Source organism: Homo sapiens, chromosome 19 (assembly GCF_000001405.40).
Source record: "Homo sapiens chromosome 19, GRCh38.p14 Primary Assembly".
In the NCBI taxonomy this organism is placed as follows: Eukaryota; Metazoa; Chordata; class Mammalia; order Primates; family Hominidae; genus Homo; species Homo sapiens.
This window is the reverse complement of record NC_000019.10, coordinates 49,347,953-49,363,547: the sequence shown is the minus strand read 5'-3', so window position 1 is coordinate 49,363,547 and position 15,595 is coordinate 49,347,953. Positions and strand designations below refer to the sequence as shown.

At 53.7% G+C, this 15,595-nt stretch overlaps 2 protein-coding genes across 47 annotated transcripts in view, besides 3 other annotated features; one reads left to right on the top strand and one right to left on the bottom strand.

Annotated features, from left to right (window-relative positions):
- The window catches only part of DKKL1 (dickkopf like acrosomal protein 1), a 14,602-nt gene extending 11,569 nt beyond the window's left edge, over positions 1-3,033 (bottom strand). Inside the window, exon 1 of one of the 5 annotated variants that reach the window (XM_017026593.2) lies at positions 2,947-3,033. Coding sequence is in view for 2 of the 5 variants with exons in the window: in XM_011526725.2 (XP_011525027.1) it covers positions 2,985-3,015 (31 nt within the window). In the remaining 3 variants the exon portion in view is untranslated. Of the gene's footprint in view, positions 1-359; positions 494-977; positions 1,033-1,641; positions 1,759-2,946 lie in introns of those variants that run through there. The other 4 variants (XM_011526725.2, XM_011526726.3, XM_047438610.1 and 1 more) reach the window with 4 other exon arrangements.
- The window catches only part of TEAD2 (TEA domain transcription factor 2), a 21,822-nt gene continuing 7,358 nt past the window's right edge, over positions 1,132-15,595 (top strand). For 2 of the 42 annotated variants that reach the window (XM_047439535.1, XM_047439523.1), the window contains exons 1-9: positions 1,132-1,175; positions 3,467-3,704; positions 4,049-4,113; positions 6,234-6,296; positions 7,578-7,589; positions 8,129-8,236; positions 8,342-8,400; positions 12,183-12,247; positions 14,703-14,845. In XM_047439535.1, the coding sequence (XP_047295491.1) occupies positions 3,473-3,704; positions 4,049-4,113; positions 6,234-6,296; positions 7,578-7,589; positions 8,129-8,236; positions 8,342-8,400; positions 12,183-12,247; positions 14,703-14,845 (747 nt within the window). In that variant the 5' untranslated portion in view covers positions 1,132-1,175; positions 3,467-3,472. Of the gene's footprint in view, positions 1,252-2,030; positions 3,705-4,048; positions 4,114-6,233; positions 6,297-7,577; positions 7,590-8,128; positions 8,246-8,341; positions 8,401-12,182; positions 12,248-14,488; positions 14,592-14,702; positions 14,846-15,595 lie in introns of those variants that run through there. The other 40 variants (XM_011527404.3, XM_011527399.3, XM_047439533.1 and 37 more) reach the window with 33 other exon arrangements.
- Positions 1,339-2,047: an enhancer, noted in NCBI's record as "NANOG-H3K27ac-H3K4me1 hESC enhancer chr19:49864758-49865466 (GRCh37/hg19 assembly coordinates)". NCBI's record gives its function as "activates a minimal SCP1, AML or CMV promoter by ChIP-STARR-seq in primed H9 embryonic stem cells {active_cell/tissue: H9 hESC(primed)}" and the evidence as "EXISTENCE:reporter gene assay evidence [ECO:0000049][PMID:30033119]".
- Positions 2,048-2,757: an enhancer, noted in NCBI's record as "H3K27ac hESC enhancer chr19:49864048-49864757 (GRCh37/hg19 assembly coordinates)". NCBI's record gives its function as "activates a minimal SCP1, AML or CMV promoter by ChIP-STARR-seq in naive H9 embryonic stem cells {active_cell/tissue: H9 hESC(naive)}" and the evidence as "EXISTENCE:reporter gene assay evidence [ECO:0000049][PMID:30033119]".
- Positions 3,303-3,803: an enhancer, noted in NCBI's record as "H3K4me1 hESC enhancer chr19:49863002-49863502 (GRCh37/hg19 assembly coordinates)". NCBI's record gives its function as "activates a minimal SCP1, AML or CMV promoter by ChIP-STARR-seq in naive H9 embryonic stem cells {active_cell/tissue: H9 hESC(naive)}" and the evidence as "EXISTENCE:reporter gene assay evidence [ECO:0000049][PMID:30033119]".

The window sequence follows — 15,595 nt, the reverse complement described above, 5'->3', positions numbered from 1 at the left end:
AAGCCACGCCCCTGCACTGGGCCACGCCCCTGCACTGGACCACGCCCCTGCGTCCCAGATCTTGCCCTCATCACCCCAAGTTCCAGTCCTAGGCTCCTCCTACTGGAGACACCGGAGTACAAGCATCCCTTTTAGCTCTCACTCTAATTGTGTATCTGTTTCGGAACCTTTTCTCCGTGTCCCTTCTGGTTTTCCCGCTCCCGCTCCACTAAAAAGTCCCGTTGTCTCCGGAAACCCTAAATCCAGTCTTATATTTCATCTTCCAAGGAACCCAGAATCAGACTTCCTTTTCCCTGAGGACCTCAGGTCCGGACTCCCGCCCCCTCTAGTCCCGTAATTTTGAACACGCAGCCTTTCACCCTTAAGGGACCGGGCCCTAAGCCATCTTCCCTCAGGCACCAAAGCTCTCTTCCCCGTCCCGGGACAGCCGCCAGCCGTCTCCAGTCCACTAGCGCCTGTAGATGAGGAATCTGCACCTACGTGGGCCTCCAATAAACTCCCGGTGGTCCTGCCCACGACTCTTAACTGTGGTGAGGTCACAAGGAAACCAGGTCGTCATAGGAATCAGTCAAAACCCATCCCCAGACCCCAATCCTCAAAAAAAAAAAAAAACAAAAAAAACAAAAAACAAAAAAACCAAAAACCAAACAGAAAAAAAGAAAAAAAACCTCAGGGCTTAACAGTAAAGACTCTTTGTATTCGTATCACTTCCGCACCCCCAATACACAAACACGAGGGTAGCCGGGATTCCAGGCGCCTAGCCCCGTCCCCTCTCAGACCTAGGAGCCCATATCTCTCTCCAGCCGCTTCCTCTCCCAGACCCAGGAGTCCCAGCCCCCAGACCCAGGAGTCCCAGCCCCCAGCCTCTCCTCCCTCAGATCAGGGGTTTCTGGCTCCTATCAGCCTTTTCCCTCCGACTTGGAGTCCGAACCCCCAATCCCCCTCCTTTCCCAAGCACCCAAATCCTGAGTTCCTACCAGCCCCGAGATAGACTAATCTCTCCCAAAGCAAAAATCCTTCCCCAAACTGTCACCGTCGGATCCCCCTTCCCGCTGTCCGCCGGCCGGGCCCGCCCCCCCCTCCGGTCCCTCCCACTTTTCCCAAACAAAGCTCCCGGCAACTTTCTCCCTCGCAGCGCCCCGCCCGCCCGCGGCTCCCCAGCCCCAGGCCGGGAGGTAGGAAGGCGCCGGCGGGAGTCGGGGATCCTGCTTTGGGGTGTGTGAGTTGGGGTGGGGAGTTGCTTCTTAGGAGGTGAGGCGTGCGTTTGCGGGACCGTCTCTGAATGGTTCGCAGCCCTCTTTTTGCCCGGGGGCCCGAATTTGCTCCCGTGACCGAGCCTCAGTGAGGAGTGGGAACTCTGGCCGGAGTTAGGGTGCCTGCGGCTGGGTCTGAGTTTGGGCGTGCGCGCAGGAGCGGGTGCGGGCCAAGGGCGCTGGCGGGGTGTGGGGCGTGCGTCTGCGGCGGTGTCACTTTGGAGTGAGAAGGACCCCTTGTGTAATCTGGGGGGCATTTGGTCCTTCTTACGGAGAAGGGAGGGCCTCTGGGGTGGCCGAGGGGAGGTTACGGGGCTTTCTGGATCTTAAGTCTTGCCTCTTTGGAGGTTTAGGGTCTGGGGCGGGAAATTAGGGGGACCTTTCTTACCCGGCTCCACCGTCCCTTTGTCTGGCCACATGGGGAAGGGCTGGGCTGGGATTTTGGCCTACGGGGGTCCTGAACGCCGCAGCGCCACTGGGCTTGGCTGGGGTCTTTGTCTGCTATGGTCGGCGGGAGGAGGGGAATAGGGGCCTGGACTCTGGGGTCCTGGGAAAGCTGTGGAGGACATGGAGCCTCCGGGGAGGCGGGATCTGACTGTATTGGAAAAAGTTTTCCCTGTTCCCGGCCTCCGGAAAGTCACTGGGAACTTGAGTTGGATCAGAGCCCACGGCGCACGGGGGAGGGGAGGGGCGGGGCCCGGTGCCGGAGGGGAGTCGCCCTGGCCGGCAAGCCCCTCCCCTGATGGGGGTTGTGGGAAGCTGGGGGAGGGGACGCCTGGGCCCTTTGTTCTGGCTCTTCTGATGGCAGGGCGCCCCTGTCCCCCAGCTTGTGGTTCTGTGGGTCTCTCCTGGTCTCGGCCTCAGCTGCTGCCCTGAGTCTCTGTCCCTGCCCTTTCTAGGTCTCCGTCTCCCTTTCTCTGGGTCTCTGTTGCCCTCTCTCTGAGCCTCTGTCCCCCTCTCTCTGAGTCTGTGTCCCCCTCTCTCTGGGTCTCTGGTCCCCTCTCTCTCTGGGTCTCTGTCCCTCTCTCTCTGGGTCTCTGTCCCCCTCTCTCTGGGTCTCTGTCACCCTCTCTCTCTGGGTCTCTGTCTCCCTCTCTGGGCCTCTGGACCCCTCTCTCTGGTCCCTGTCCCCCCCCCCCGGTCTCTGTCCCCCTCTTTCTGGTCTCTGTCTCCCCCTCTCCCTGGGTCTCTGTCTCCCTCTCTTTTTGGGTCTCTGTCCCTCTCTCTGGGTCTCTGTCCCCCTCTCTGGTCTCTGTCCCCCCCTCCCTCTGGTCTCTGTCCCCCCCTCCCTCTGGTCTCTGTCCCCCTCTCTCTCTGGGTCTCTGTCCCCTCCGTCACTGGTCTCTGTCCCCCCCTTCACTGGGTCTCTGTCCCCTTCTCTCTCTGGTCTCTGTCCCCCTCTGTCTCTGGGTCTCTATCCCCACCTCACTGGTCTCTGTCCCCCTCTCTCTCTGGTCTCTGTCCCCTTCTCTCTCTGGGTCTCTGTCCCCCCCCCTTGCTGGTCTCTGTCCCCATCCCCTCTCTGGGTCTCTGTCCCCCTCCCTCTCTGGGTCTCTGTCCCCCTCTCTCTAGACCTCCCCTCAGTCTTGCTTGGCCCCTCTTCTTTTCTGGCAGCTGCTGCTCACATCTTACCACCTGTTCTTGGGGTGGGACAGGGGAAGTTTCACCCACACCTTCCTTCCCCACCACTAACTTTTGCCTCCTGTCTTCTTTAAAACCCGTAATTCATACCCGAACCTTTAGCCTTCATGGCCCTCGGCATTACTCTAGGGTAATCATTGTGACTTCATCACAATTGAGTTCCTCTGGAAACTCTGAGAACACTCCCATCCTCAGCTTTCCAAGAAATCCAGCTCCTTCTCCTCCCTCAGACTCAGGAGTCCAGACCCCAGCCCCTTCTCCCTCACACCCAGGAGTCCAGGCCTCCAGCCCCCGCTCCCTCAGACCCAGGAGTCCAGGCCCCAGATCCTCCTCCCTCAGTCCTAGGAGTCCGGGCCCCAGCCCCTCCTCCCTCAGACTCAGGAGTTCAGGCCCCAGATCCTCCTCCCTCAGACCCAGGAATACCCCCCAGCTCCTCTTCCCTCAGACCCAGGAGTCCAGGTCCCCAGCCCCTCCTCCCTCAGACCCAGTGGTCCAGAGTCCCAGCCCTCTCAGCTTCAAGTCCCTTGAGGGTGGGGTTTGGGGGAAGCTTGCTGAGTTCTGTGTTCCTCCAGGCCCAGATGGGGGAACCCCGGGCTGGGGCCGCCCTGGACGATGGCAGCGGCTGGACGGGCAGTGAGGAAGGCAGTGAGGAGGGTACCGGCGGCAGTGAGGGGGCTGGGGGTGACGGGGGCCCGGATGCAGAGGGGGTGTGGAGCCCAGACATTGAGCAGAGCTTCCAGGAGGCCCTGGCCATCTATCCACCCTGCGGCCGCCGGAAAATAATTTTGTCTGATGAAGGCAAGATGTATGGTGAGTCTACTTCTGTCTTTTGCCCTGGCCCCCACTGATGAATAATGACAGTAACCAAGGTTTATGGAGCACTCTGAAGTAGGAGCTAGCATCACCATTTGCACAGATGAGGAAACTGAGGCACAGCTAGGTTAAGTGATTTGCTTATGGTCGCACAGAGCCAGTGCGTGATGGAGCTGGGATTTGAACCCAAGCAGTCTGGCTTCCACGTAGCTGAGGGGACCGGCAGCCCACTTGCTGCAGACCTTTGGGGACCCATGCTGCTTTCTTCTTCCCTGGTGTCCATGCTGTGGGGAAGTTCTGTTGAAAGTCTAACTAACTCTGTTCCGTCTTTGAATCTTCAGGTCGGAATGAACTGATCGCCCGCTACATCAAGCTGAGAACGGGGAAGACCCGAACTCGAAAACAGGTCTCGGAATGGACTTGTGGGCTTCTGTCTGGGATGGGCCGGTCTTCTTAGGGTCATCCTCGCATGGGCAGGTTCAGGTTCAAGGAAGAAGCTGCTTCCTGTGCGTTCATCTGTCTTCTCGGCATGTGTGTTAGTCCGTTTGTATTGCTATAAAGAATTACCCGAGGCTGGGTTATTTATGTATTTGTTTATTTTTTGAAATGGAGTCTAGCTCTGTTGCCCAGGCCGGAGTGCAGTGGCGCGATCTTGGCTCACTGCAACCTCTGCCTCCCGGGTTCAAGCAATTCTCCTGTCTCAGCCTCCCGAGTAGCAGGGATTACAGACATGCACTACCATGCCTGGGTAATTTTGTATTTTTAGTAGAGATGGGGTTTCACCATGTTGTCCAGGCTGGTCTCGAACTCCTGACCTCAGGTGATCCACTCACCTCAGCCCCCCAAAGTGCTGGGATTGCTGGGATTACAGGCGTGAGCTACTGTGCCTGGCAAGGCTGGATAATTGATAAAGAGCTTTAGGCTGGGCCAGTGGCTCATGCCTGTTATCCCAGCACTTTAGGTGAGCGGATCAGGAGGTCAGGAGATCGAGACCATCCTGACCAACATGGTGAAACCCCGTCTCTACTAAAAATACAAAAATTAGCTGGGAGTGGCAGTGTGTGCCCATAATCCCAGCTACTCGGGAGGCTGAGGCACGAAAATCGCTTGAACCCGGGAGGCGGAGGTTGCAGTGAGCCAAGATCGTGCTACTGCACTCCAGCCTGGTGACAGAGCCAGACTCCACCTCAAAAAAAAAAAAAAAGAAAGAAAGAAAGAAAAGAGCTTTATTTTGGCTCACAGTTCTGCAGGCTGTCCAGGAAGCATGGAGCTGGCATCTGCTCCTGGTGAGGCCTCAGGAAGCCTCCAATCATGGCGGAGGGGGTAGTGGGAGCAGGCCTGGCACATGGAAAGTGGGAGCAACAGAAGAAAGACAGAGGTCCCAGACTCTTTTTAAACACCCAGATCTTTTTGTTGTTGTTGTTTTTGAGAGAAAAGTCACTGTGTCTCCCAAGCTGGAGTGCAGTGCCGTGATCTCAGCTCACTGCAGCCTCCGCCTTCCGGGTTCAAGCGATTCTGCTGCCTCAGCCTTCCAAGTATCTGGGATTACAAGCATGCGCCTCCACATCTGGCAAATTTTTATTTTTTCATTTTTTAAATATTTTTTTGAGACGGAGTCTCGCTCTGTTGCCCAGGCTGGAGTGCAGTGGCGTGATCTTGGCTCACTGGAAGCCCCGCCTCCCGGGTTCAAGCGATTCTCTTGCTTCAGCCTCCTGAGTAGCTGGGACTACAGGCGCGCACCACCACACCTGGCTAATTTTTTGTATGTTTAGTAGAAGTAGGGTATCGCCATGCTGGGCAGGCTGGTCTCGAACTCCTGACCTCAGGTGATCCACCCGCCTCGGCCTCCCAAAGTGCTGGGATTACAGCTGAGCCACTGAGCCCAGCCCTAATTTTTGTGTTTTTAGTAGAGACAGGGTTTCACCATGTTGGCCAGGCTGGTCTTGAACTCCTGACCTCCAGTGATCTGCCCATCTAGGCCTCCCAAAGTGTTGGGATTACAGGCGTGAGCCACCACACCTGGCCTAAACAACCAGATCTTGTGTGAACTGAGTGAGAAGTCACTCATCATCAAGGAGATGGTGCAAAGCCATTCATGAGGGGTTCACCTCCATGATCCAATACCTCCCACCAGGCCTCACCTCCAACACTGGAGATGGCATTTCAATATGAAATTTGGAAGGGACGAATGTCCGAACTGTATCAGCATGTCTGTTCGTGTGCTCTCACTGTGCCTGTTTGGGGATAGTTTTTCTAGTGGTTGTGTTAGACCCAGAGTAGCCACAGAGAGAGCATGGTGGAGGGGAAGGAGGCCTGGATGGGATGGGTCCCGGGAGGGTCCGTGGTGTTCACGAGCTCCTTTATGGACATCTGTGTTCGGGTGCTCCCGAGATGGCTCTCATCTTCAGTGTGTTTTTCACCTTTCATGGTCCAGCAGCTCAGTGAGGCACCTGGAGGGAGAGAAGGGGTAGTGAACACAGGGGCGGTGGCTGTGGCCTGAATCTGCTTCTCCGTTGATCCTTCCAGGTTTCTAGTCACATCCAGGTTTTGGCCCGAAGGAAATCAAGGGAAATCCAGTCCAAGTTGAAGGTAGGGACCAATGCAGACATCCTGAGAGGGGGACAGAGACTGGGGGTGGGGGACCGAGACCCAGAAAGAGAGGGACAGAGACCCAGGGAGAGGGGGACAGAGACTTAGAGCGGGGAGGACTGAGACCCAGAGAGAAAGGGACAGAGACCCAGGGAGAGGGGGACAGAGACTTGGGGGAGGGGACCAAGACCCAGAGAGAGAGGGACAGAGACCCAGAAAGAGAGGAGGACAGAGACCCAGAGAGAGAGGGACAGAGACCCATAGACAGAGGGGGACAGAGACCCAGAGACAGAGGGAGACAGAGACCCAGAGACAGAGGGGGACAGAGACCTCAGGTGAGGGACCTCTGTGGTCAGGGCGGGGGGTGCAGTCATCCAGGGTGGGGAGTCAGTGGCCCACAAAGGGAGATGCATAGGGATGGTGGTGCGGTTGCTGAGACCCTGGGCAGGGAGCGATGGCATGGAGGAGGCTGAAGGTTTTGCTCAGGACAGCAGGAAGGATGGGCCGTCGGTCCCCTCCCTTGACCACTGTTCCTGTCCCCCTCCCTTCCCTCTGCTCCTGTCCCTCCTTTCCCTCTTCCTGGCGGTCTCATATCTTCCCCCTCTTGTGCTGTGAAGGCCTCCTCTTCATCTCCGCTGGTTTGTTTTCCCATTTCCTGACCTTTGCATGACCTGCCTACTCTTTGTGCCCAGAAATCTTCATTTCCTGGTGGAGATTCCTCATTCATTTCCTTCTCCTCATCCTTTGGATTTCCTGGTTCCTGTTGGCCGGAGACCCTCATTTTCTCCCCCTTCTGGGTGTGTGGGGGTTTTTCTGTCTCTTTTTCTGGACTTGGGGACGGTCGCTTCTGGTTTTTTTTTTTTTTTTTTTTTTGTATCCAGCAGCTTTCCCTTTCTTTCTCTCTAGGTCTGAAACCCTTCCCTTCCGGTCTGTTCTCGACCTTCTGTGTTCCCTGTCTGTTCTGTCTGGATTAGGAAACATTTACCTTGTCTTCCCGCTGGCTCTGAAATTCTCATTTCCTGTCTCCTGGACATCTGGGAACCTTCTGGGTTTCCTTGTTCTAGAAACCCCCATCACTGTCTTTCTGGGCAGGGAGCCCCTTTTCCCCTCCAGGGCTGGCCACCTCCACTTCCTGTTGCGCATCCATCCCTTGGCACTGCTCAGCTCAGGGTGGCGGGGCTGTGCGGGCGGGTAGGGCAGGGAGGTGGGGGAGTCCGGGCCGTACTTCCTAAGTCATGTTTTCTTTCCTCCTTTGGCACCCTCCCCCACCCCCACGGGCAGGCTCTGAACGTGGTAAGTTCCTCTGCCCATCCTCCCACCCACGCTCACTCCAAACTAGTGCCCTGTCCCTGAGGAGGGGCAGAGGGCTGTGGGGAGAGGTTCAACCCTCCCCCAACCCAAGCCTTTGCCTTTTTTTTTCTTTTTGGAGACAGGGTCTTGCTCTGTCGCCTAAGCTGGATGCAGGGGCACGATCTCCACTCACTGCAACCTCTGCCTCCTGGGTTCCAGTGATTGTTGTGCCCTAGCTTCCCTAGTAGCTGGGATTATGCGTGTGCACCACCACACCTGGCTAGTTTTTGTATTTTTAGTAGAGACAGGGTTTCACCATATTGGCCAGGCTGATACTGAACTCCTGACCTCAAGTGATCTGCCCGCCTCCGGCTCCCAGAGTGCTGGGATTACAGGCGTGAGCCACCATGCCCGGCCACTAACCCTTTGCCTTGACTCCCCACCTCTGCACCTCCCCGTCTTCACCCCACCCTGGCACCATCCCCCTCTTGCCATGTTGACTGAGATGCCCCTCTCACATGAACTTCCGCCTCCTCCTCCAGGACCAGGTTTCCAAGGACAAGGCTTTCCAGACAATGGCAACCATGTCCTCTGCCCAGCTCATCTCCGCGCCTTCTCTGCAGGCCAAACTGGGTCCCACTGGTCCTCAGGTGGTCCAGGTTGGGGATTGTGGGACGTGGGGGCAAAGGGGGATGGATGGGGCTGCAGCTGTCCACAGGGGACTGACCAACCATTTTTCTTTGTGTCCTATCCAGGCCTCTGAGCTTTTCCAGTTTTGGTCTGGAGGATCTGGGCCCCCCTGGAATGTTCCAGAGTGAGTACTATGTGTCCTGGCTCAGCACCTGCCCCCCACCCTCACACTCCCACAGAGACCTTTCTCACTCCACCTTCTAGCTCCTGTGTCCCCCCATTTATGTATGTATGTATGTATGTATGTATGCATGTATGTATGTATTTATTGACATGGAGTCTTGCTCCGTTGCCCAGGCTGGATGGAGTACAGTGGTGCGATCTCGGCTCACTGCAACCTCCGCTTCCTGAGTTCAAGCAGTTCTCCTGCCTCAGCCTCCCGAGTAGCTGGGACTATAGGCGCCTGCCTCTATGCACGGCTAATTTTTGTATTTTTAGTAGAGATGGGTTTTCACCACGTTGGCCAGGCTGGTCTTGAACTCCTGACCTCGTGATCCACCCGCCTCAGCCTCCCCAAATGCTAGGATTACAGGCGTGAGCCACCGTGCCCAGCCTCTATTAGGTGGTTCTTGGACCTGAGGGTAGAACAGAGGTTATAATTAATCTTCTCTTAGGTTCAGAAGGAAGAAAATGTTTCCCAGAGGTAAGTGGGAGTGTCCTTTTCAGTTCTGAGAGAGCCTTGAGGTGACGGGATATGTTTGTAGCCTACAAGAATAGAAATGGGCCCCAGAAGATGATGGGAAGTGCTTTTTTTTTTTTTTCTTTTTTTATACAGGATATTCTTCTGTTGCCTAAGCTGGGGTGCGGTGGCACAATCATGGCTCACTGCAGCCTCAGCCTCCTGGGTTCAAGCAATCTTCTTGCCTCAGCCTCCTGAGTAGCTGAGACTACAGGCATGTGCCACCACACCTGGCTAATTTTTTGATTTTTGTAGAGACGGGGGTCTTGCTATGTTGCCCAGGTTGGTCTTGAACTCCTGGGCTCAAGTGATCCCCCTGCCTGGACCTCCCAAAGTGCTGGGATTACAGGCGTGAGCCACCGTGGCGGGCTAGGGGTGTATTTCTCAGCCCAGAGAGGAACTGATGGATCCAGGCTAGGCATTGGTTGGGTAGTGTGGCTGCAGGACGGTGAGGCAGGAGTGTTGACGGTATTGTCAGAGAAAGAGTGTAGTGAGGGCCGAGTGTGGTGGCTCACGCCTGTAATCCCAGCACTTTGGGAGGCTGAGGCGGGTGGATCACGAGGTCAGGAGATCGAGACCATTCTGGCCAACATGGTGAAACCCCGTCTCTACTAAAAACACCAAAAAAAAAAAAACAAAAAACAATTAGCTGGGCGTGGTGGCAGGCACCTGTAGTCCCAGCTACTCAGGAGGGTGAGGCAGGAGAATCACTTGAACCCAGGAGGCAGAGGTTGCATTGAGCCAAGATTGTGCCACTGTACTCCAGCCTGGGCAATAGAGCGAGACTCCAGCTCAAAAAAAAAAAAAAGAGTGCAGTGACAGGCTGTGTGGGATCTAGACTGGAAGAGAAGGAAGGTCACTGGGGAGCTGCTGCTGAATGGGGATACGGGAAGCATCAGATCAAGTACCTGGGGGCTGAGGGTTTTGCAGGGGGGTTGCTTAGCTGGAAGGTAGGGGGCTGGGCAGGCACTGCCCTGACGCTGGGGTTTCCGCTTTCATGGAGCTGTTAGTCAAATGGGGGAAATGAGCGTTCATCAAATCATCACCTGCATAAACAGAAAATCGAAGAATGTGTGAGGTGCTGTGAAGAACCACAGCAGGTTCTGGGGTGGAGGAGAAAGTTCTAGGGGTTTCTCTGAGAAGATAACATTGAAGGCCGGGTAGGACTTAGCCAGGTGAAGAATGGGAGTGGGAGGCCCGGCATGGTGGCCCGCATCTGTAATCCCAGCACTTTGGGAGGCCAAGGAGGGCAGATCACTTGAGGTCAGGAGTTCGAGACCAGCCTGTCCAGCATAGTAAAACCCCATCTCTACCTAAAATGCAAAAAATAGCCAGGCATGGTGATGTGCGCCTGTAATCCCAGCTACTCCGGAGCCTGAGGCAGGAGAATCGCTTGAACCTGGGAAGCAGAGGTTGCAGGGAGCTGAGATTGTGCCACTGCACTCCAGCCTGGGCAACAGAGCGAGACTCTATCTCAAAGGAAAAAAAAAAAGAATGGGAGTGGGAATATATTAGGCAGACACAATAGCACACGACAAAGTCCTCAGGTAGGAGATCTTTCTGGGTTCCAGGAATCTAGAGGAGGCCAGTCCAGTATTTGTTGAGTGCCTACTAAGTGCCTGATACTGTGCTTGGTTTGGGGGCACAGCAGTAAGACAGGTGAAATTCCTGCCTTCACGGAGCTTCATATATTTGGTGGGCGGGGGAGGAGACAGACAATAAACATATAAACAAAGAATTAATAAGAAAAGGAGGCCAGGCATAGTGGCTCATGCCTGTAATCCCAGCACTTTGGGAGACCGAGGTGGGTGGATCATTTGAGGTCAGGAGTTCGAGACCAGCCTGACCAACACAGTGAAACCCCGTCTCTACTAAAAAAATACAAAATTAGCTGGGTGTGGTGGCACAGCCTGTAATAATCCTAGCTACTTGGAAGGCTGAGGCAGGAGAATCGCTTGAATGCAGGAGGCGGAGGTTGCGGTGAGCCAAGATCACGCCATTGCAGTCCGGCCTGGGCAACAAGAGCAAAACTCTGTCTCAAAAAAAAATAGAGCTGGGGTCTTGCTGTGTTGCCCAGGCTGGTCTCAAACTCCTGGGCTCAAGCGATCTTCCTGCCTTGGCCTCCCAAAGTGGTGGGAATACAGGCGTGAGCGACTGCGCCTGGTCTGACCTCTGACATCTAAGTCTCTTCACCACTATCTCTTGGGCTACTAGGGCTGTGACTGATACTGTAGCCACTAGCCTCATGCAGCTATTTAAATTAAAATTAAATAAAATTAAAGATTCTGTTTCTCAGGTCCATGAGCCACACTTGTGCTCAGTGGCCACGTGGTCTGTGGTCAGTAGCCACATGTGGGCACTGGGTACCGTATTGGATGGCACAGATTTCCATCCAATAGAACATTTCCATCCCTGGAAAGTTCTATTGGCCAGTGCTGCCTCCCCACCCCGACTTTGGCCTCCTGTCCCATCTCCTGAGTGTTGGTCATTTTCTTCCCACCCTCCCAACCCCTCAGCCTCTTCTTCCTCCAAATTCCTTGTCTTCTGCGTCTTCTCCCTGCCTTCCAAGACTTGGTTTCTCTTCTCTCCTCTTTCTTTTTATTTTTTTTTTGAAATGGAGTCTTGCTCTGTCACCCAGGAGTATAATGGCGTAATCTCGGCTCACTGCAACATCTGCCTCCCGGGTTCAAGCAGTTCTCCTGGCCCAGCCCCCTGAATAGCTCGGATTACAGGCGCGCACCACCACACTCTGCTAATTTTTGTATTTTTAGTAGAGATGGGATTTCACCATGTTGGCCAGGCTGGTCTCGAACTCCTGACCTCAAGTGATCTGCCCGCCTCAACCTCCTGAAGTGCTGGGATTACAGGTGTGAGCCACCACGCCAGGCTGGTTTCTCTTCTCTTTCTGACATTTTGTGAGAGATACCAAAATGTCATCATCAAGAGCCTGAGATACCGGGCTGAGACTGACCTGGGTTCAAGTCCCAGCTCTGCTGCATCTCAACTGTGTGACTTTGGGCAGGTCAGTTGACCCCTCTATACCTCAGTTGTCCTCATTTGTGCAATGAAAAGAGCAGTCATTCTACCTACCTCACGCACTGTGAGGCTTCAGTGAGATTGTGCACAAAATGCACAGGGTCTTGCTTGTTGTGGCCTCTCAGTAAACATTTGCTGGTGACATTAGCATCTTTCTACCTGGCTAACCCCTGGCTTCCTTTTTCCCTCAGTGTGAAGCCATTCTCACAGACACCGTTCACCTTGTCACTGACTCCCCCATCTACTGACCTCCCAGGTAAGAGCCTGCGCTCCACCCTCCCTTGTCTCCCCTCTCTCTCTTCGACCCCTACTGCCTTTCCTTCAACCTTCCATCAATTGAGGGATACATTGTTTTTTTTGTTTTATTTTGTTTTGTTTTGAGATGGAGTCTCCCTCTGTCGCCAGGCTGGAGTGCAGTGGCGTGATCTCGGCTCACTGCAACCTCCGCCTCCTGGGTTCAAGTGATTCTCCTGCCTCAGCCTCCCGAGTGGCTGGGATTACAGGTGCCCGCCACCATGCCGGGCTAATTTTTGTATTTTTAGTAGAGATCGGGTTTCACCATGTTGACCAGGATGGTCTCGATCTTTTGATATTGTGATCCGCCTGCCTCGGCTTTCCAAAGTGCTGGGATTACAGGTGTGAGCCACCGCACCCGGCCAATTAGGGGATACATTCTTACTGAAGCCCAGCTTTGAGGCAGGGTGTGTGTGTTGGGGGCGGGGGAGCCGGGAGGGGCTGGAGAGCTGAGTGGTGGAACTGGTGATGGTTAGGAGATTTTGGTCTTTGCAGCCACACACTGGGTTTGTGTTCTGCCACTTGCTAGCTTATGAGACATGGGGGAGGTATGTTAGTCAAGATTCTTTCAGCTGCAAGTGATAGAAATCCAAATCAAGCCAGCTGAAGCAACATTTTAAAAAAGAAGAGGCAGGTGCGGTGGCTCACAGCTGTAATCCCAGCACTTTGGGAGGCCTAGGCGGGTGGATCACCTGAGGTCAGGAGTTCGAGACCAACCTGGCCAACATGGCGAAACCACCCCCCCCAACCTCTACTAAAAAATACAAAAATTAGCCAGGCGTGGTAGCAGTAGCACTTGCCTGTAATCCCAGCTACTCGGGAGGCTGAGGCAGGAGAATCACTTGAACCTGGGAGGCAGAGGTTGCAGTGAGCCGAGGTGGCACCGTTGCACTCCAGACTGGGCGACAGAGCAAGACTCTGTCTCAAAATAAATAAATAAATAAAATAAAAAATAATAAGAAAAATGTATTGATTTATTGGTTCCAGTAACTGACAGTTCAGAATTATGGCCTCAGGCGTGGCTGGATCCAGCGGCTCAAGTGATGGCATCAGTCATTACTTTGATCTGCTTTCCACTGTGGTGGCTTCATTCCCAGGCAGACTCAGCTACTTGGCAGCAAAGATGGCTTCTGGAAGTCCATGCTGATATGGCCCTGAGAACTCACATCAGTGAAAGAGGGAGTCCCTTAGTTTCCATAGATTTATCAATTAGGAATACTTTTGGCTGCAAGTAACAGAAGACCCACATTAAAAGTGCCTTAAATAGTAAAAGCATTCATGTTATGAATCCATGCAACAAAAAGCCTGGAGGTGGGCTGTTCCCGTGTGGGCTTAGCAATATCAGGACTGGAATCTCTGTAGTTCCTCTCATGTCTGTCTTATTGTCCCAAGATGGCTGTTGCAACTCCAGGGATCATGTCTGTGTTGGTCCATTTGCATTGCTGTAAAGGAATGCCTGAAACTGGGTGATTTATAAAGAAAAGAGGTTTATTTGGTTCACAGTTCTGCAGGCTGTACAGGAAGCATGTTGCCAGCCTATGCTTCTGGTGAGGGCCTCAGGAAGCTTAGGACCATGGTGGAAGGGGAAGGGGAGCCACTATGTCACATGGTGAGAGGGAGCAAGAGAGCGAAGCCAGGCTCCTTTAAACAGCCAGCTCACATCAACTCAAAGAGTGAGAATTCACTTGTTACTATGGGGAAGGCACCAAGACATTCATGAGGGATCCACCCCCATGACCCAAGCACTTCCCATCAGGCCCCACCTCCAACCTTGGGGATCACACTTTTTTTTTTTTTTTTGAGACAGAGTCTCGCTCTGTCCCCCAGTCTGGAGTGCAGTGGCGCAATCTCGGCTCACTGCAACCCCCGCCTCCTGGGTTCAAGCCATTCTCCTGCCTCAGCCTCCTAAGTAGCTGGGATTACAGGCACGTGCCACCATGCCCAGCTAATATTTTGTATTTTTAGTAGAGACAGGGTTTCACCATGTTAGCCAGGACGGTCTCAATCTCCTGACCTTGTGATCCACCTGCGTTGGCCTCCCAAAGTGCTGGGATTACAGGTGTGAGCCACCGTGCCCAGCTGGGGATCACATTTCAACATGAGATTTGGAGGGGACAAATATCCAAACCATATCAATCTCCCAAGCAGGACTTGGCCAGGGCCAAAAGCTTTCTCCTCCCAAAGTTCTGTCTTTTTCATTCAGGAAGAAACTCCTTCCCAGAAGCCCCCCAGCAGATTTCCCCTAACGTCTCATTGGCTAGGACTGTGTCACATGGCCACTTCTAACTGCAAGGGAGGCTGGGAAAGTGAGTATTTAGCTTTTTCAGCTTCTAAGTGGAGGCAGGCAAGAGACAACAGTACCTGATATATTCCATAAATGTTAGCAATTTGTATTGTTCTTTCTTCTCTCTCTCTAGGGTACGAGCCCCCCCAAGCCCTCTCACCCCTGCCCCCACCTACCCCATCGCCCCCAGCCTGGCAGGCTCGGGGCCTGGGCACCGCCCGGTTGCAGCTGGTAGAGTTCTCAGCCTTCGTGGAACCGCCAGATGCAGTTGATTCTGTGAGTGAAATTTTGGTACAGTCGCTGAGGGATTTTGAAATATAGAGGGTGACAGGAAGGGAATGTATAAAGTCATGGTTTTAAAACTTTAGCATGTATCAGAATCATCTGAAGGGCTTCTTAAAACAGAGATTGCTTTCTGATTTGCTAGATGTGATGTGGGGCTTGAGAATTTGCATTTCTAATAAGCTACCAGGTGCGTTGATGCAGCTGGTCTGGGGACCGTACTTTGAGAACTACTAGCATAAAGGAACTGGAAGGTCATAGGGTGACAAGTTGGGAAGGTCAGAAAAGCTCCCCAGGACATCATTCATTCATTTATCAAACGTGTTTGAGTTTCTACTGTTCACTAGGCTTTGTGATGCATACTAGGAACTTGGAAAAGATTTTATTTCTGTGCTTGAGCTTCTCCTGGGCTAGGATGGAGTGGGCCGACTGTTAGAAGAAACAGCTCCTAACTCTTAGGGACTGAATGCCAGATAAGTTGCATGTAACATTTCAATGTAGGTTCAGCAGGAGCCTTGGACTCAAGTGATTTGGGGATCCAGGCTCCTTCCATTTTGTGGCTCTGCCATTTTCTAAGGCTTCAGAATCTGCTGATGGAGTCTCTGCATCTGGCCAGCAGATGGAGGAAGGGAGAGAGTCAAGATTGTGCAGGAGGTTTTAGGAATCTGACTTGGATGTGTCGACTCTCAGGCCTGGTCACATCCCATTGGCCAGAACTTAGTCATGTGGTCACACCTAACTGCA